Genomic DNA, 19,733 nt, shown 5'->3' on the forward strand with positions numbered 1-19,733 from the left:
TGTGAAACAAGTTTTTTTTATTGTTGTTAATTTTTGGTGTTCCTATGCCCAAAGCTTTTGAGACAGTGAAATTGATTATTTTGGTGGTTCCAGAAGGCACCCACAATTTTCCCTTTGTTTGCGTAAGAGTTGTGTCAGAGGCGAAAGGCCTAACACAGCTAAATCTAACACAGAGTTGAACAGGGTTACTGCTAGAAACATTTTTTCAACTGTTCAATTTTTATCTTTTCTCATGAAGCAATGAAGAATTTTTAAATAAACACAAAAATTGGGCACAGCCATTTGACTGTGTTGGAAGCCACAAGGTGGCGCTGCAGACTGAAGAGACGGAGGAACAAAATTGACCAGAATGCTACGGAAGTCCTTGACAAAAAGGAAACACTGAGACAGATGGGCTGAGAAGAAGAGCTGTCGAGTCCCTGATTGGGAAAGGAAAAATTAAAAACCCTAGATCTCTGGTACACATAAGTCTGGGTTTGCGATTGCTATTTGTGCTGGGGCAGTGTGATTGAGACTGACATTGAGGAAAGAAGCAGCTATGAAGACCAGGGGGTTCAGCTTTCCAAGACAAAGGCAAGTCCTGTTTCTTTTTCTTTTCTGGGGAGTGTCCTTGGCAGGTTCTGGGTTTGGACGTTATTCGGTGACTGAGGAAACAGAGAAAGGATCCTTTGTGGTCAATCTGGCAAAGGATCTGGGACTAGCAGAGGGGGAGCTGGCTGCAAGGGGAACCAGGGTGGTTTCCGATGATAACAAACAATACCTGCTCCTGGATTCACATACCGGGAATTTGCTCACAAATGAGAAACTGGACCGAGAGAAGCTGTGTGGCCCTAAAGAGCCCTGTATGCTGTATTTCCAAATTTTAATGGATGATCCCTTTCAGATTTACCGGGCTGAGCTGAGAGTCAGGGATATAAATGATCACTCGCCAGTGTTTCGGCACAAAGAGATGGTCTTAAAAATATCAGAAAATACAGCTGAAGGGACAGCATTTAGACTAGAAAGAGCACAGGATCCAGATGAAGGTCATAACAGTATCCAAAACTACACGATCAGCTCCAACTCTTTTTTCCATATTAAAATTAGTGGCAGTGATGAAGGCATGATATATCCAGAGCTAGTGTTGGACAAAGCACTGGATCGGGAGGAGCAGGAAGAGCTCAGCTTAACCCTCACAGCGCTGGATGGTGGGTCTCCATCCAGGTCTGGGACCTCCACTATACGCATTGTGGTCTTGGATGTCAATGACAATGTCCCACAGTTTGCCCAGGCTCTGTATGAGACCCAGGCTCCAGAAAACAGTCCAGTAGGGTCCCTTATTGTTAAAGTGTCTGCAGGAGATGCAGACTCAGGAGTCAATGCAGAAGTATCCTATTCATTTTTTGATGCTTCTGAAGATATTTTAACAACGTTTCAAATCAATCCTTTTTCTGGGGAAATCTTTCTCAGAGAATTGCTTGATTATGAGTTAGTAAATTCTTACAAAATAAATATACAGGCAATGGACGGCGGAGGCCTTTCTGCAAGATGTACAGTTTTGATAAAAGTATTAGATTCCAATGACAATCCTCCTGAACTGATCATATCATCACTTTCCAACTCTGTTGCTGAAAACTCTCCTGGGATAGTATTGGCTGTTTTTAAGATTAAAGACAGAGACTCCGGAGAAAATGGAAAGACAATTTGCTATGTTCAAGATAATCTGCCTTTTTTTCTGAAACCGTCTGTTGACAATTTTTACATCCTAATGACTGAAGGTGCACTGGACAGAGAGAGCAAAGCTGAGTACAACATCACCATCACCGTCACTGACTTGGGGACACCCAGGCTGAAAACCGAGCACAGCATAACCCTGCAGGTCTCCGACGTCAATGACAACGCCCCCGCCTTCACCCAAACCTCCTACACCCTGTTCGTCCGGGAGAACAACAGCCCCGCCCTGCACATCGGCAGTGTCAGCGCCACAGACAGAGACTCAGGCACCAACGCCCAGGTCACCTACTCGCTGCTGCCGCCCCAGGACCCACACCTGCCCCTCGCCTCCCTGGTCTCCATCAACGCGGACAATGGCCACCTGTTTGCCCTCAGGTCGCTGGACTACGAGGCCCTGCAGGCTTTCGACTTCCGCGTGGGCGCCTCAGACCGCGGCTCCCCGGCTTTGAGCAGCGAGGCGCTGGTGCGCGTACTGGTGCTGGACGCCAACGACAACTCGCCCTTCGTGCTGTACCCGCTGCAGAACGGCTCCGCGCCCTGCACCGAGCTGGTGCCCCGGGCGGCCGAGCCGGGCTACCTGGTGACCAAGGTGGTGGCGGTGGACGGCGACTCGGGCCAGAACGCCTGGCTGTCGTACCAGCTGCTCAAGGCCACGGAGCCCGGGCTGTTCGGTGTGTGGGCGCACAATGGGGAGGTGCGCACCGCCAGGCTGCTGAGCGAGCGCGACGCGGCCAAGCACAGGCTGGTGGTGCTTGTCAAGGACAATGGCGAGCCTCCTCGCTCGGCCACCGCCACGCTGCACGTGCTCCTGGTGGACGGCTTCTCCCAGCCCTACCTGCCTCTCCCGGAGGCGGCCCCGGCCCAGGCCCAGGCCGACTTGCTCACCGTCTACCTGGTGGTGGCGTTGGCCTCGGTGTCTTCGCTCTTCCTCCTCTCGGTGCTCCTGTTCGTGGCGGTGCGGCTGTGCAGGAGGAGCAGGGCGGCCTCGGTGGGTCGCTGCTCGGTGCCCGAGGGTCCTTTTCCAGGGCATCTGGTGGACGTGAGCGGCACCGGGACCCTGTTCCAGAGCTACCAGTACGAGGTGTGTCTGACTGGAGGTTCAGAGACCGGCGAGTTCAAGTTCTTGAAGCCGATTACCCCCCACCTCCCGCCCCATAGGGGTGGGAAAGAAATAGAGGAAAATTCTACTCTCCCCAATAGCTTTGGATTTAATTATTGAAAGGAACCCACTTAATAAAGACATTTACTTCTTTAATATATTCTTGTTGGCTAACTAAATTGTGTATGCCCACCACAAAGAAGGTACTATTTTTTGTTTGATTCATCTTCAACTTTGCGTATTATGCTTAACTTCACAAGTTAACTTTTTCTTATTTTGTATCCTGATGAGGCATTTCTTACTAGAATCCCATAAGTGAAATATAATATTTTTCAAAGTTGATATCATTTAAAAATTTTTGGTCGTTTTAAATGTCTTTATTGACTTTAAATTCATTGCCTCTACATTATTCATTAGTTCTTCTTTTCCTAAAACTTTTTACTTGTTAAAATAGTCTGCTGCATGTAATATGTGCTTTTACTATTTGATATTTCTTCTATTTTTCTTTTGAAACCGGTGTTCTTATTGGTTTGCCATCCTTGTTCATTACAACTGTTTTTTGTTTGTTTGTTTGTTTTTTGGTTTGTTTGTTTTTTTTTTTTTTGAGACGGAGTCTCGCTCTGTCGCCCAGGCTGGAGTGCAGTGGCGCGATCTCAGCTCACTGCAACCTCCGCCTCCCAGGTTCAAGCGATTCTCCTGCCTCAGCCTCCAGAGTATCTGGGACTACAGTTGCATGTCACCACGTTCGGCTAATTTTTGTATTTTCAGTAGAGACGGGTTTCATCATGGTGGCCAGGATGGTCTATCTCTTGACCTCGTGATCCACCCCACTCAGCCTCCCAAATTGCTGGGATTTACAGGCATGAGCCACCGCACCCAGCCTACAATAATTTTCTTAAACTTTACCTTTTATTTTAAAGTTCTAGTTTCCCGGCATTGATAGTTCCCTATTTGAAATATAATGTTTCTCTTGTAAGTGATATGATAAATAAACCCCTAATTAGCCTTAGAAGAAAAACCACTGCAAGATATTAAGCGTGTGTAAATGGGCTTTAGTCTGGAAACCAAAAAAAAAAAAAAAATTTAGTCATTCTATAGGATCATGTGAAAATATTTAATTTGCTCCTTTTAATTCTGTATAAACAAATCAGAGGTTCCTGAGGTTCCTGTTAAATTTTTAATGGCTAATAGCCCAGTGCCATCCAGTTGAAAAAACAACAGCAATCACAAAGTAGAGGTTTATATTGTGCGGCTTTTATATTCAGCTATTAGAGTGTTATTGGTAGTGTCTAGCCTTTTCCTCCACGACATTCCTTGACTTAATCCATTTGGGCCTATTATAGACAAAATAGAGCTTCTTTCTAGATATAAGGTCTTTGAGGCAGGGCTCAGTGGCTCATTCCTGTAATCCCAGCACTTTGGGAGGCCAAGGCGGGCAGATCACCTTAGGTCACGAGTTTGAGACCAGCCTGACCAACGTTAAGTAACCCCGTCTTTACTAAAAATACAAAATTAGCCAGGCATGGTGGCACATGCTTGTAATCCCAGCTACTCGGGAGGCTGAGGCAGGAGAATCGCTTGAACCCAGGAGGTGGAAGTTGCTTTGAGCCGAGATTGCACCATTGTACTCCAGCCTGGGCAATAAGAGCAAAACTCCATCAAAATAAAATAAAATAAAATATAAAATAACTTAAAAAGAACTTTGAATAAAATTCTATGAAAAAAGACACTAGAATGCTGTTCTTAATTTTAATAGTGTTAAGATAGGTGTTAGTGTGGTCTGTTCTTTACCTCCCTTTATTTGGTGCAGAGAAGTTAGATCCTGCTAAATTTCAATTAAGAGGGGACCTTAAAATAAGGATCAATCTCTTATTTAACCCTGTAAGTTACTTTAAAGCTAATACAAGAAAAACAAAGACAAGTGAAAGTAAGGAAACAGAAATTGCAAAGAGTAAATGAAAGAAAAAAACTTTCAAGTGGTCGGAATTGAAAGGCACTGGAAAACGTTTCAGGTTCTACCCATCTGAGTTTATTTATGCATGTCCTAATACAGGCAGTATTTATTGCTTGTCTGATTTGTCACTCACAGATGATTAGGACATAGTTCCTATCCTTAAGTAGCCCACACATTGAAGAAGAAATAGATTTGCATGAATTAAGAAGCAATAATATTTGCAGGGCAATCATAGTTGTATACACAAGTTTTTATGAGAGAATAGAGGAGGGACAGCTTAAATGCATTATACAAGATTACAGAGTGATGATTCTCCTTAATCAGTGTGATGAGATTTTGAAGTTTGTTGAGGAAGGTGTGAAACATATTTTCTTTGTCTGTTTTGGTGTTCTTATCCCGATGTTTCTGGAAAAGTAAAATCTCCTGTTACTTTGGTGATCCCAGATGTCAGCAACATTTTCCCTTTGATTCTTGACATTGTGTGAGAGTTGTGTCTGAGATGAAAGGACTAGTAGAGAGCTAAATTTAGCACAGTGAGGTGGACAGAGTTATTGCTAGAAACATATTTTCAAGTGTTGAATTTTTAACTTTTCCCAAAAAGAATTGAAGAATCTCAACAATGTGACTATTTCTCTGTCTCAACATTAATTTTTACAAGACAAACGAAAATAAACATGAAAAATTTAAATGAGGCACTAAAGGAAATTGTCTGAATACACACACCCAAATGGGTACAACTACTGAAATCTGGTGGAGGCCACACGGTGGCGCTGCAGGCTAAAGAGACGGTTTGGGAATTGCTCTGAGGATGCTATGCAAGTCACTAATAAAGGAAGACACGGACAGATGAACTTAAAAGAGAAGCTTTAGCTGCCAAAGATTGGGAAAGGGAAAGGACAAAAAAGACCCCTGGGCTACACGGCGTAGGTGCAGGGTTTCCTACTGCTGTTCTTTTATGCTGGGAGCTGTGGCTGTAACCAACTAGGAAATAACGTATGCAGCAGCTATGGCTGTCAGAGAGTTGTGCTTCCCAAGACAAAGGCAAGTCCTGTTTCTTTTTCTTTTTTGGGGAGTGTCCTTGGCAGGTTCTGGGTTTGGACGTTATTCGGTGACTGAGGAAACAGAGAAAGGATCCTTTGTGGTCAATCTGGCAAAGGATCTGGGACTAGCAGAGGGGGAGCTGGCTGCAAGGGGAACCAGGGTGGTTTCCGATGATAACAAACAATACCTGCTCCTGGATTCACATACCGGGAATTTGCTCACAAATGAGAAACTGGACCGAGAGAAGCTGTGTGGCCCTAAAGAGCCCTGTATGCTGTATTTCCAAATTTTAATGGATGATCCCTTTCAGATTTACCGGGCTGAGCTGAGAGTCAGGGATATAAATGATCACGCGCCAGTATTTCAGGACAAAGAAACAGTCTTAAAAATATCAGAAAATACAGCTGAAGGGACAGCATTTAGACTAGAAAGAGCACAGGATCCAGATGGAGGACTTAACGGTATCCAAAACTACACGATCAGCCCCAACTCTTTTTTCCATATTAACATTAGTGGCGGTGATGAAGGCATGATATATCCAGAGCTAGTGTTGGACAAAGCACTGGATCGGGAGGAGCAGGGAGAGCTCAGCTTAACCCTCACAGCGCTGGATGGTGGGTCTCCATCCAGGTCTGGGACCTCTACTGTACGCATCGTTGTCTTGGACGTCAATGACAATGCCCCACAGTTTGCCCAGGCTCTGTATGAGACCCAGGCTCCAGAAAACAGCCCCATTGGGTTCCTTATTGTTAAGGTATGGGCAGAAGATGTAGACTCTGGAGTCAACGCGGAAGTATCCTATTCATTTTTTGATGCCTCAGAAAATATTCGAACAACCTTTCAAATCAATCCTTTTTCTGGGGAAATCTTTCTCAGAGAATTGCTTGATTATGAGTTAGTAAATTCTTACAAAATAAATATACAGGCAATGGACGGTGGAGGCCTTTCTGCAAGATGTAGGGTTTTAGTGGAAGTATTGGACACCAATGACAATCCCCCTGAACTGATCGTATCATCATTTTCCAACTCTGTTGCTGAGAATTCTCCTGAGACGCCGCTGGCTGTTTTTAAGATTAATGACAGAGACTCTGGAGAAAATGGAAAGATGGTTTGCTACATTCAAGAGAATCTGCCATTCCTACTAAAACCTTCTGTGGAGAATTTTTACATCCTAATTACAGAAGGCGCGCTGGACAGAGAGATCAGAGCCGAGTACAACATCACTATCACCGTCACTGACTTGGGGACACCCAGGCTGAAAACCGAGCACAACATAACGGTCCTGGTCTCCGACGTCAATGACAACGCCCCCGCCTTCACCCAAACCTCCTACACCCTGTTCGTCCGCGAGAACAACAGCCCCGCCCTGCACATCGGCAGCGTCAGCGCCACAGACAGAGACTCGGGCACCAACGCCCAGGTCACCTACTCGCTGCTGCCGCCCCAAGACCCGCACCTGCCCCTCGCCTCCCTGGTCTCCATCAACGCGGACAACGGCCACCTGTTCGCCCTCAGGTCGCTGGACTACGAGGCCCTGCAGGCTTTCGAGTTCCGCGTGGGCGCCACAGACCGCGGCTCCCCCGCGCTGAGCAGAGAGGCGCTGGTGCGCGTGCTGGTGCTGGACGCCAACGACAACTCGCCCTTCGTGCTGTACCCGCTGCAGAACGGCTCCGCGCCCTGCACCGAGCTGGTGCCCCGGGCGGCCGAGCCGGGCTACCTGGTGACCAAGGTGGTGGCGGTGGACGGCGACTCGGGCCAGAACGCCTGGCTGTCGTACCAGCTGCTCAAGGCCACGGAGCCCGGGCTGTTCGGTGTGTGGGCGCACAATGGGGAGGTGCGCACCGCCAGGCTGCTGAGCGAGCGCGACGCAGCCAAGCACAGGCTCGTGGTGCTTGTCAAGGACAATGGCGAGCCTCCTCGCTCGGCCACCGCCACGCTGCACTTGCTCCTGGTGGACGGCTTCTCCCAGCCCTACCTGCCTCTCCCGGAGGCGGCCCCGGCCCAGGCCCAGGCCGAGGCCGACTTGCTCACCGTCTACCTGGTGGTGGCGTTGGCCTCGGTGTCTTCGCTCTTCCTCCTCTCGGTGCTCCTGTTCGTGGCGGTGCGGCTGTGCAGGAGGAGCAGGGCGGCCTCGGTGGGTCGCTGCTCGGTGCCCGAGGGTCCTTTTCCAGGGCATCTGGTGGACGTGAGGGGCGCTGAGACCCTGTCCCAGAGCTACCAGTATGAGGTGTGTCTGACGGGAGGCCCCGGGACCAGTGAGTTCAAGTTCTTGAAACCAGTTATTTCGGATATTCAGGCACAGGGCCCTGGGAGGAAGGGTGAAGAAAATTCCACCTTCCGAAATAGCTTTGGATTTAATATTCAGTAAAGTCTGTTTTTAGTTTCATATACTTTTGGTGTGTTACATAGCCATGTTTCTATTAGTTTACTTTTAAATCTCAAATTTAAGTTATTATGCAACTTCAAGCATTATTTTCAAGTAGTATACCCCTGTGGTTTTACAATGTTTCATCATTTTTTTGCATTAATAACAACTGGGTTTAATTTAATGAGTATTTTTTTCTAAATGATAGTGTTAAGGTTTTAATTCTTTCCAACTGCCCAAGGAATTAATTACTATTATATCTCATTACAGAAATCTGAGGTTTTGATTCATTTCAGAGCTTGCATCTCATGATTCTAATCACTTCTGTCTATAGTGTACTTGCTCTATTTAAGAAGGCATATCTACATTTCCAAACTCATTCTAACATTCTATATATTCGTGTTTGAAAACCATGTCATTTATTTCTACATCATGTATTTAAAAAGAAATATTTCTCTACTACTATGCTCATGACAAAATGAAACAAAGCATATTGTGAGCAATACTGAACATCAATAATACCCTTAGTTTATATACTTATTATTTTATCTTTAAGCATGCTACTTTTACTTGGCCAATATTTTCTTATGTTAACTTTTGCTGATGTATAAAACAGACTATGCCTTATAATTGAAATAAAATTATAATCTGCCTGAAAATGAATAAAAATAAAACATTTTGAAATGTGTGGTTGAGATTGCTGGAGATATTCATTTATATGTTGCAAATTTATTTTAAATACCAAATTTTTAATAAGCAAGAGGAACTAAAGGTTAGAATGAAAAACAAGTTTCATCAGTTTTTTTATATTACTATATATAAAATATATACTATATATAACTAACATTTTATAGTTTTTTAAGTTAGCTGTTCTGCCAGTCCCTTACCACAGTGTGGTTTCTTCTTGAATTGATCTCAATATTTATAAATAATATGTTTATAATACTATATCTTGATATTGTTTTGTATTTGAACCATTTCTTTCTATAATAGAAAAGCATTTTAGCTTTATTTCCAAACTAACAAACATATGCAAACATTGCAAATTCTTTTTCTCCTATTCTCCAATATAGATGTCACAGTTTCTTAGTTAAATTAGTGGTTATTATCTATATTGTTACATGCTTCAGAATATGCATTTGTATACTGTACTAGAATTACATTTCCATACTTGAAAAGTATGGTTCCTAGAGTTCGTAATTGTTATTTCATACTTGCATTATTTTCTATGTACCTCTATTGTTTTTTTCCATATCTTTCATTTGAATGTATTTTCTCCTTAAAAATATTCCAATTTTTAAGATACTCTGTCAATGACATTTATTTTCAGGAGCTCTTTCATCGTGAGTTTCCTGTTTCATTTAGACTGGTTAATCTATAGACTGTTACCCTGGGACTTTTTCCCTTCAATACTTTCCTGTATGAGTCTACTTTTCCAAGGTCCAGTATACTCTTTTTTCTAGTTTACTCTCTTATTCAGCTGGCACGCATCTCTCAAGACCTTCATATAAACGAATGCAGAAGAGATTTTTAAAAAATTGTCTCCTTACATTGTGAAGACATCTTTTTTGTTTGTTTTCATTTGCTTGATAGTTTGACTGGGTATAAAATTCTAGTTTGAAAATAATTTTCCCTCAAATTTTGAAAGCTGAAGCTGTCTCTTTTACTCATTGCATGTCGAGTTTCTTCAGAAGACTGACTTGATTTTGATTCCATCTCTCTTTGTGTCCTTCTCTCTTACCTCCTTTCCTGGAAGCATTGAAAAACTTTTTCCTGGTAATCTGAAAAGACCTTAATACAGGCATTTTATTTATTAATCTGGCCATGCAGGCATACCCTGTTAACATATAGACTCTTACTGTAAGTTCTGAGAAATTTTCTTGTTATGTTTTAGTAATAATTTATCCATTGAGTTTTCTACAGTCTCACTTTAACCAGAATCTCATTAAATATTGCACCTCCTGTGTTGATTTTCTGAGACTCTAAATTATAATTTTTTTCTTCTTTTCCATCTCTTGTTCTACTTATTAGACAATTTATTTAATCATCCAATCTCCATATTTAAGTTTTTCTTTTTGGATAGCAAATATTTATTTTTAAGAGCTCTTGGTTTTTCATAACATCCTATTACAAATTTGCAAATGTAAATCTTCTTTCATCTATAATTAATCTATTTATTCTTTAAAAATGCATTATATAGTAAGAGTTATTATTATACCTATTTTAAACTTGCAAGTGAATCAAAGGGAAGTTAAGAATTTGCCTAAGGCTATATAGCTAGTAAGGGGCACTTAAGCCCTAAGCTATTCTTTGTCTTCCAGGTATAAATACGTACTTGATAGGGTTACTGTTAACATCAACTAGGTAAATCCATATGAGGCACTAGAATAATGAACTTAGAATAAGTCAATAAGTGTTAGCTCTTATTACATTTTGTTTCTCTGGGGATACTAATCAGACATTTTAAAAGGCTTTCTTTTGTTTTCTGAATTATATCTATTCCCTCCTGTTGCTTTTTGTGCTTGGCGGTAGTATTACAGTTTTGGCTTTTCTATTTCATGTTGTAGGCATTTTCTCAAATGTCTTGTTATCTTTGACTGTCTTATTATATATATGAATGGTGACACAGCAAATGCTGACAGTCAACACTTCATGAGTATTGATGACAGGGCTTCACTCTAATGTAACCATGCTAGGATAGAGCTACTACCTTGGGAAACCCCCACATATCAGTACATGTAAGTCTTTATCTGCGCCTTTCATATTCCCCAGGATAGAATTCTACAATATTCAATGTTTTGGGTGCGATGGGGAAGATGTCAGGCATATATCTTGTGTCCTACAATCTGAGAGTATCATGGCTAGGAGTCTCACAATACAGAAGGCAGTGTTTTGCCTAATCTCCCTATCTTTAGTTTCATACCTCCTACTTTCACTCAGCTCTGCCTGGGGTTTCCAAGACTGGAGATAGTATAATTTCTCCAGAATATAATCTAATTTCTCCAGAGTATAAGCTTTCCATTCTCTGGCTCTCAGTTATTTTCTTGTCTCTGTATGATGGTGAAAAGACCAGAGAATTCAACTATCCTACATACATACTTTCAACTAATAACTTCTTTTTTAAGCCCTTACTTGACTTCAGCCTTCTTATACACCTGGTTCCTCCAAGTCTGGTACCTACTAGGATTGTGTAGGGAAAACCCAGTAGTTTATTTTTAGTATCTCCAATGAAGGAACTTTATTTTAGACATTTCTTGGAACTATTGTCAATTGCTCTTTCATCTGCTTTCTATCATCAAATAATTTGTGTATTTACTTATGTATTCTTAGTCTTTGTGAATTCATACCTTTTATTACTTTTCTGTCATTTTAGAGAGGGGTTAAGAAGAAGGAAGGATAATTGTATAGTCAATCCACATACTATTCAATTTCTACTCTTCTGCACTGATAATTTTTCAACCATGTATCTAGTTCACATTTTTGTGAATGTAATTTGAAATTAGAATTTTTAAAAGCAGACTTCTTAGATGTCCTCCATTATTGAGAGTACTTTGAGATGTCTAACAGTGGATACCATTGGTAGTTTCCAAGCACCTATTCCAACTATCTCCCTCATTATGCCATGCACTTTGGCTAGGACTGAAACCACCTCAAGTTTAAGGGGCAATCTCTGCCTGGATTAAAACAAAGGGTCAAAGATGGAGTCTTTAGATTCTGGGACTATAATCTCTACCTTTAATCCTATACATCTTGAGACACTGATTTCTTCAGTAACAGGCTGAAGTGCTCTCAGTTGGTCTAATCAGAATGAAGGCTAAGATTTTGTTCTATTATTGAGGAAGAAAATATCTCTCATTCTGTCTTCTTGAGCTGAAAAACAAAGCAGATAGCCATAGATGTTGCTGGAATAAATCTTGGGAAACTGAGGGAGGGCAGTCTTAGAAATAAGCCTGCTTTAAATGAAACTAACATGCTTGTGCTTGTGTATTTATTATTTTTTGAGAAGCTGGAACTAAATCAAGGATTCTCATAATGTGTTCTACTCCCAATATCTTACTTTACTTTCTAGCAGTTCACAATTCCTTGCTACCAAGGAAATCTATATAAATGCCTTCTTGTGCTATCATAACTATCAAAGTATGTCCCATCTCATGGTTAATCCAGTTTCATATCCTCTGAGAGGACTTCTAAAATGACCCATGTATAGTTTGCCTTTTCATTACCACCTAAGGAAAGTCAAGTAGTGATAGAATTTTGTACAGCTTAAAAATATTATGGTTGTTTTATGTTTCCAGTCTTCTCAGAAAGATTACAAACCACTGGGAGCCAGGAATCACATCTTGTATTTCTGTATTCACCACAACTAAGCACGTTTGGTTGTATGGAGAAGGGGGAAAGATAAATGCTTTAAGATGAATATTAACAGCATATCAAACTAAAGAGAATATGAAATAATTATTACAGAACGTGCAATATATTTGTAATCACTTGAACACAATGAATAAAACAATATTTGTTTCCGGAGGACATATAAGTGAATGGAATTTAGGTAGCTTTCACCAAACTGTGAAAATCTATGGAGACACTTGGTGGCGCTGCAGGATAACATCGTGAAAAATATATTCACTGGATGGCGTTGTGAACACTGATATCCAGTGCACACAGAGAATCAGAAGACAGAAACAACAAGCCTTCAAGAGGGTGACCTGGAAACCATTCAACAGGGTTAAAATCCTTAGACCACAGAGGATTTGGTGGACAAGTCAGAGACGCGTTCCGCAGAGCTGAAGCCTTTCTTCAAGAAGCCTACAAGAAAGGAACTATGGAGAACCAAGGGACACGCACTCAGCAGATAAGGCAAGTCCTGCTTCTCTTTGTTTTGCTCGGAATGTCTCAGGCGGGCTCTGAAACCTGGAGCTTTTCTGTGGCAGAAGAAATGCAGAGCGGGAGTTTTGTAGGCAATCTGGCAAAGGACCTGGGGCTGAAGGTGAGAGAACTGTCCTCACGGGGGGCTCGGGTGGTCTCTAATGATAAGAAACAGCGTTTGCAGCTGGACATAAACACTGGGGATTTGCTCTTAAGTGAAACACTAGACAGGGAGGAGCTCTGCGGTTCCATCGAGCCTTGCGTGCTACATTTGCAGGTGTTAATGCAAAACCCCACGCAGTTTTTACAAATTGAGCTTCAGGTCAGGGATATAAATGATCACTCTCCCATCTTCTCGGAAAAACAAATGCTCCTAGAAATCCCAGAGAACAGTCCCGTTGGTGCTGTGTTCTTACTAGAAAGTGCGAAGGATTTAGATGTAGGAATCAATGCTGTAAAAAGCTACACAATAAGCCCCAACTCTCATTTTCACATTAAAATGAGAGTCATTCCAGACAATAGGAAATACCCCGAGTTAGTTCTGGACAAGGCGCTGGATTATGAAGAGCTCCCGGAGCTCAGTTTCATCCTCTCTGCTCTGGATGGTGGGTCCCCTCCCAGGTCTGGAACTGCCTTGGTCAGGGTGGTGGTTGTGGACATTAATGACAACTCCCCTGAATTTGAGCAGGCTTTTTATGAGGTGAAGATTCGGGAGAATAGCATCCTTGGCTCGCTGATTTTGATTGTCTCAGCTTGGGATTTAGACTCTGGAACAAATGGTGAAATATGCTATACCTTTTCCCATGCCTCAGAAGATATTCGCAAGACATTTGAAATTAATCAAAAGTCTGGAGAAATTACTTTAAGAGCACCTCTGGATTTTGAAACGATTGAGTCATACTCAATAATCATTCAAGCCACAGATGGGGGAGGACTTTTTGGAAAATCTACAGTCATAATTCACGTGATAGATGTAAATGACAATGCTCCTGAAATCACTGTGTCATCAATTACCAGTCCAATCCCAGAAAATACGCCAGAGACCGTGGTTATGGTTTTTAGTATCCAAGATATAGACTCTGGGGACAACGGAAGAATTGTTTGTTCCATTCCGGAAGACCTCCCATTCGTGCTAAAATCTTCAGTTGAGAATTACTACACGTTGGAAACAGAGAGACCACTGGACAGAGAGAGCACAGCCGAGTACAATATCACCATCACCGTCACCGACTTGGGGATACCCAGGCTGAAAACCGAGCACAACACAACTGTGTTGGTCTCTGACGTCAATGACAACGCCCCCACCTTCACCCAAACCTCCTACACCCTGTTCGTCCGCGAGAACAACAGCCCCGCCCTGCACATCGGCAGTGTCAGCGCTACAGACAGAGACTCAGGCACCAACGCCCAGGTCAACTACTCGCTACTCCCGCCCCAGGACCTGCACCTGCCCCTCGCCTCCCTGGTCTCCATCAACACAGACAACGGCCACCTGTTCGCCCTCAGGTCGCTGGACTACGAGGCCCTGCAGGCTTTCGACTTCCGCGTGGGCGCCACAGACCGCGGCTCCCCGGCTTTGAGCAGCGAGGCGCTGGTGCGCGTGCTGGTGCTGGACGCCAACGACAACTCGCCCTTCGTGCTGTACCCGCTGCAGAACGGCTCCGCGCCCTGCACCGAGCTGGTGCCCCGGGCGGCCGAGCCGGGCTACCTGGTGACCAAGGTGGTGGCGGTGGACGGCGACTCGGGCCAGAACGCCTGGCTGTCGTACCAGCTGCTCAAGGCCACGGAGCCCGGGCTATTCGGCGTGTGGGCGCACAATGGCGAGGTGCGCACCGCCAGGCTGCTGAGCGAGCGCGACGCGGCCAAGCACAGGCTGGTGGTGCTGGTCAAGGACAATGGCGAGCCTCCGCGCTCGGCCACCGCCACGCTGCAAGTGCTCCTGGTGGACGGCTTCTCCCAGCCCTACCTGCCGCTCCCTGAGGCGGCACCGGCCCAGGCCCAGGCCGACTCGCTCACCGTCTACTTGGTGGTGGCGTTGGCCTCGGTGTCTTCGCTCTTCCTCTTCTCGGTGCTCCTGTTCGTGGCGGTGCGGCTGTGCAGGAGGAGCAGGGCGGCCTCGGTGGGAAGCTGCTCGGTGCCTAAGGGCCCCTTTCCAGGGCATCTGGTGGACGTGAGCGGCACCGGGACCCTTTCCCAGAGCTACCAGTACGAGGTGTGTCTGACGGGAGGTTCCGAGACAAATGAATTCAAGTTCCTAAAACCGGTTATCCCTAATATCCAGGCAAAAGGTCTTGGGAAGAATAGTGAAGAAAACTCCACCTTTCGAAATAGCTTTGGATTTAATTTTTAGTAAGAATGCTATTTACATTTGCATGTACTTTTTTAGTTTTATGTAACCATATCAATATTATTTAGTCTTAAACTAGTTACGTTATTATGCAATACGACTAATTGTATTTTTAATTTTTTCTTTTCTCCCCCAATTTTTTTTTTTTTTTTGAGACCGAGTCTCATTCTGTCGCCCTGGCTGGAGTGCAATGGTGTGATCTCAGCTCACTGCACCCTCCGCCTCTCGGGTTCAAGCAATTCTCCTGCATCAGCCTCCCGAGTAGCTGGCATTACAGGCGCCCACCACCACGCTCGGCTAAATTTTTTTTTTTTTTATCTTTAGTAGAGACGGGGTTTCACCACGTTGGCCGGGCAGGTTTTAAACTCTTGACCTCATGTTCCACCCGCCACGGCCTCCCAAAGTGCTGTGATTACCGGTGTGAGCCACTGCGCCCGGCCTTTTTTTTTTCTTTTCTTTTCTTTTTTTTGATACAGAGTCTTAGTCACCCAGACTAGAGGTCAGTGGCAGGATCTCAGCTCACTGCAACCTCTGCCTCCTGGGCTCAAGAGACCAGCCCACCTCCGCCTCCAAGTAGCTGGGACTACAGGCGTGCGCCACCATGCCCGGCTACTTCTTGTATTTTTTGTAGAGACGGATCGTCACCATATTTCTTAGGCTGGCCTTTAACTTCTGAGCTCAAGAGATGCACTCCCCTCAGCCTCCCAAAGTGCTGGGATTACAGGCGGCCAGGCCTATTTTCAATTTTCAAGTATTGCATATCATTGTGAATAACATTGTAAATCCTTTTTATATTAAGTAACAGGTAGTTAATCCATTTCTAATGAATAATTTTAAGGTTTTAATCCTTTCCAAGTGTACAATAATTTACTGATTATTATTTCTTATTCTAGAAAACTGACTTTGATTTTTCTCTTAGGTTGTTTTGTTTTGTTTTGTTTTTTGAGACGATGTTTCACTCTTGTCGCCCAGGCTGGTGTGCAATGGCGTGATCTCGGCTCACTGCAGTCTCTGCCTCCCGGGTTCTCCTGCCTCAGCCTCCCGAGTAGCTGGGATTACAGGTGCACCACCACACCCAGCTAATTTTGCATTTTTAGTAGAGACGGGGTTTCACCATGTTGGTCAGGCTGGTCTCTAACTCTTGATATCAGTGATCCGCCCGCCTCAGCCTCCCAAAAAGCTGGGATTACAGGCGTGAGCCACCGTGCCCAGGCTCCCCTAGTATTTTTCACTGTCTGCATCCTATGATCCTAACCACCTGTGTATTGTAGTTTCTTCATGGGAGAAGTCATATCTGCCCTTCCAACCTTATTCTAACATTCTATTTATTCATTTAAAAAGCCACATCATCTAGTTCTAAATCACAGCATTTAAAGAGAAACATTTCATTATTAATGTGCTCATGGTAAATTAAATATTATTTTGTGATCAATATTATACTTCAATACTAACTTTGTGCTTGTATTATTTTCTTAAATATACTACACTTACTTGGCTAATATTTTTAATGCTTTTGTGTGTGTATATATATATATAGAGAGAGAGAGAGATCATGGCTTATAATCCAAACAAAATGTAATAAACTGCATGAAAATAAATAGGAATATTAAAACATTTTGATAATTTTGGGATGAGGATATTGGTGGACTGTTGGAAAGATATTCACTTTTCCTTTTATTTTGTAAATTTATTTCATTATTTTCAAATGTAAAAATCAAGATGAACTAAAGGTTGAAAGAAAAACAAGGCCTGCCTCAGTGGCTTGGCTGGGTGGGTTAGATCACACCTGTAATCTCAGCACTTTGGAAGGCTGAGGCGGGCGGGTCACCTGAGGTTGGGAGTTCAAGACCAGCCTGGCCAACACAGTGAAACCCCATCTACACTAAAAAATACAAGAAGTAGCTGGGTGTGGTGGTGCGTGCCTATAATCCCAGCTACTCAGGAGGCTGAGACAGGAGAATCACTTGAACCCAGGAGGCAGAGGTTGCAGTGAGCCAAGATCTTGCCACTGCACTCCAGCCTGGGTGACAGAGCGATACTCCGTCTCAAAAAAAAAAAAAAAAAAAAAAAAAAGAAAGAAAGAAAAGAAAAGAACAGAACAATATTTTCTTTAATTTCCAGTCTCCTTCTATTGAGTGGCTTCTTCTAGAATTACCTCAATACTTCTAAATGATATGTTTTTGCTGTTAAATCTTGCTACTCCATTTTACATTTTAATCACTTCTTGCTATGTATTTTTTAAAAAAGATTTAACTTTCTTTTCAACTAATGTAAACCAATATAAGCACTGCACATTCCCTTTCTCCTATTCTCCCAATAAAATTGTTACAGTTTTTTTTTTCTTTTTGACAGAGTCTTACTCTGTCGCCCAGGTTGGAGTACAGTGGTGTGATCTCAGCTCACTGTAACCTCTGCTTCCCAGGTTCAAGTGATTCTCCTGCCTCAGCCTCCTGAATAGCTGGGATTACAGGCACCCACCACCACACCTGGCTAGTTTTGTAGCTTTAGTAGAGATGGGGTTTCACCATGTTGGCCAGGCTTGTCTTGAACTCCTGACCCCAGCTGATCCTCCTGCCTCAGCCTCCCAAAGTGTTGAGATTACAGGCGTGAGCCACAGTGCCCAGCCTACAGTTTTTTTTAAGTTAAACTAATAGTGTCCATATTGCTAAGCTTTCTTCAAAATACACATTAGTGTAGTGTGATTAAATTTCCTTTCTTGAGAAACATTTTTCCTAGAACTGAAAATTGTTTTGTACTTACATAATTTTCCATTTACTAATATTAGTTTCTTTACATTCTCTAATTTGAATCTCTTTCTTCTCAAAATATTCAAATATATCAGATACCTGTCAATTATGTTTATTTCTTGGTGATCTTGCACCCAGATCTCTACTTCATTCATACTGGTTGCTCTATAGGCTGTCACCCTAGGACTTTAAAAAATATTTTTCTTTGTTGGTCCTTTTTTATAAGATCCAGTACATTCTTCTTTCTTAGTTTACTCACTTATTTTGTTGATGCACATCTCTCAGTACCTTCATAAAAATGGATACAGAGGAAATAAAACTTTTTGAGAGCTTGCTTTGTTATTTTCTTTTTTTTTATTTGATTGATAGTTTGGGCATAACATTCTAGGTTGAAAATAATTTTCCCTCAGATTTCAAAAGCACTGCTCCTTTTATTGACTGCATATAGAATTGCTGTTCAGAAGACTGATTCCATTCTGATTCCTATGTCTTTTTATGTGATTCCCCCCCTTTTTTTCTTTCTTTCTGTGAGCATTGAAAAAAATTCCCCTGGTCTTCTGAAAATACCTTAGTACTGGCTCTTTATTGATTAATCTGGTTATATCGCTATGCCCTGTTCATGTTTAACTTTTCTTTTTTTTTTAAGATGATGTCTCACTGTGTTACCCAGGCTGGAGTGCAGTGGCTATTCACAGGCACAATCACAGCACCCTGCAAGCTCTAACTCGAGAGCTACTTCTGCCTCAGCCTTCCAAGTTGCTGGGACTACAGGCATGTGCTAGACCCCTTGGCTAATGTTCAGACTATCAATTTTATTTCTGAGAAATTTTGGTTGGGCATGGTGACTCACACCTGCAATCCCAGTACTTTGGGAAGCTGAGGCAGGATTATTTGAGGCCCCGAGTTTGAGACCACCCTGGGCAACATAGTGGGAACCTATCTCTACACAAAAACAATTTGTTAAAAGGAATTTCCTTGGTATGTTTTACTCATAATTTCTCCTCTGAGTTTTCTGGATTCTCACTTCAATGAAAATCTCAGTTAAATATTAGACCTCCTAGATTGACTCTATAAGACTATAAGCCATTTTTCCTTTCTTATTTTCTCTTTGCCTCTCATTCCATTTTTTGGACAATTTATTTAATCACTCAATGTTTTATGTATAAGTTTTTCTTTATGACTGAAAAATATTTACTTTTAAGAGTTGTTTTTGGTTCTCTGAATGTTTTTCATGGCATCCTGTCATAGATTTATAAATGTAATATTTTCTCTCATTTATAATTAATCTTTTCTTTAAAAATGCATTAGGCAGTATCATTATTATATATCCATTTTAAAAGTGAAAGTGAGTCTAAGGGGAGTTAAGAACTTGTCCAAGGTAATATAGCTAGTAAAAAGCACTGAAGTCCTAATCTAGTCTTCATCTTACAATAGGAATATGTACTTCATATAGTTACTATTTAGATTAAGTGGATAAATACATACTTCATACAGCTACTATTTAGATTAAATGGATAAATGCATTATGAGGCACTTAGAACAATGAGTAGCATAGAGTAAATACTAAATAAGTATTAGCTTTTATTAGATTTTCTTTCTCT

The 19,733-nt window shown here is 42.5% G+C and overlaps 3 protein-coding genes and 1 further gene across 3 annotated transcripts, besides 3 other annotated features; all 4 read left to right on the forward strand.

The window, feature by feature from the left end:
• The window catches only part of PCDHB@ (protocadherin beta cluster), a 197,972-nt gene that overhangs the window by 135,387 nt on the left and 42,852 nt on the right, over positions 1-19,733 (forward strand).
• Positions 381-4,761, forward strand: PCDHB9 (protocadherin beta 9). The gene has a single exon (NM_019119.5). The coding sequence runs from the start codon at positions 539-541 to the stop codon at positions 2,930-2,932; it is 2,394 nt and encodes a 797-aa protein (NP_061992.3). The 5' UTR covers positions 381-538; the 3' UTR covers positions 2,933-4,761.
• Positions 1,795-2,355: an enhancer, noted in NCBI's record as "H3K27ac-H3K4me1 hESC enhancer chr5:140568148-140568708 (GRCh37/hg19 assembly coordinates)". NCBI's record gives its function as "activates a minimal SCP1, AML or CMV promoter by ChIP-STARR-seq in naive H9 embryonic stem cells {active_cell/tissue: H9 hESC(naive)}" and the evidence as "EXISTENCE:reporter gene assay evidence [ECO:0000049][PMID:30033119]".
• Positions 2,356-2,914: an enhancer, noted in NCBI's record as "H3K27ac-H3K4me1 hESC enhancer chr5:140568709-140569267 (GRCh37/hg19 assembly coordinates)". NCBI's record gives its function as "activates a minimal SCP1, AML or CMV promoter by ChIP-STARR-seq in naive and primed H9 embryonic stem cells {active_cell/tissue: H9 hESC(naive and primed)}" and the evidence as "EXISTENCE:reporter gene assay evidence [ECO:0000049][PMID:30033119]".
• PCDHB10 (protocadherin beta 10) lies at positions 5,573-8,867 on the forward strand. Its single transcript, NM_018930.4, has one exon. The coding sequence runs from the start codon at positions 5,773-5,775 to the stop codon at positions 8,173-8,175; it is 2,403 nt and encodes an 800-aa protein (NP_061753.1). The 5' UTR covers positions 5,573-5,772; the 3' UTR covers positions 8,176-8,867.
• Positions 7,436-7,961: an enhancer, noted in NCBI's record as "H3K4me1 hESC enhancer chr5:140573789-140574314 (GRCh37/hg19 assembly coordinates)". NCBI's record gives its function as "activates a minimal SCP1, AML or CMV promoter by ChIP-STARR-seq in naive and primed H9 embryonic stem cells {active_cell/tissue: H9 hESC(naive and primed)}" and the evidence as "EXISTENCE:reporter gene assay evidence [ECO:0000049][PMID:30033119]".
• On the forward strand, positions 12,847-16,999 carry PCDHB11 (protocadherin beta 11). The gene has a single exon (NM_018931.3). It carries the CDS (start codon positions 12,995-12,997, stop codon positions 15,386-15,388), a length of 2,394 nt encoding a protein of 797 aa, NP_061754.1. The 5' UTR covers positions 12,847-12,994; the 3' UTR covers positions 15,389-16,999.

Source organism: Homo sapiens, chromosome 5, assembly GCF_000001405.40.
Source record: "Homo sapiens chromosome 5, GRCh38.p14 Primary Assembly".
Classification (NCBI taxonomy): Eukaryota; Metazoa; Chordata; class Mammalia; order Primates; family Hominidae; genus Homo; species Homo sapiens.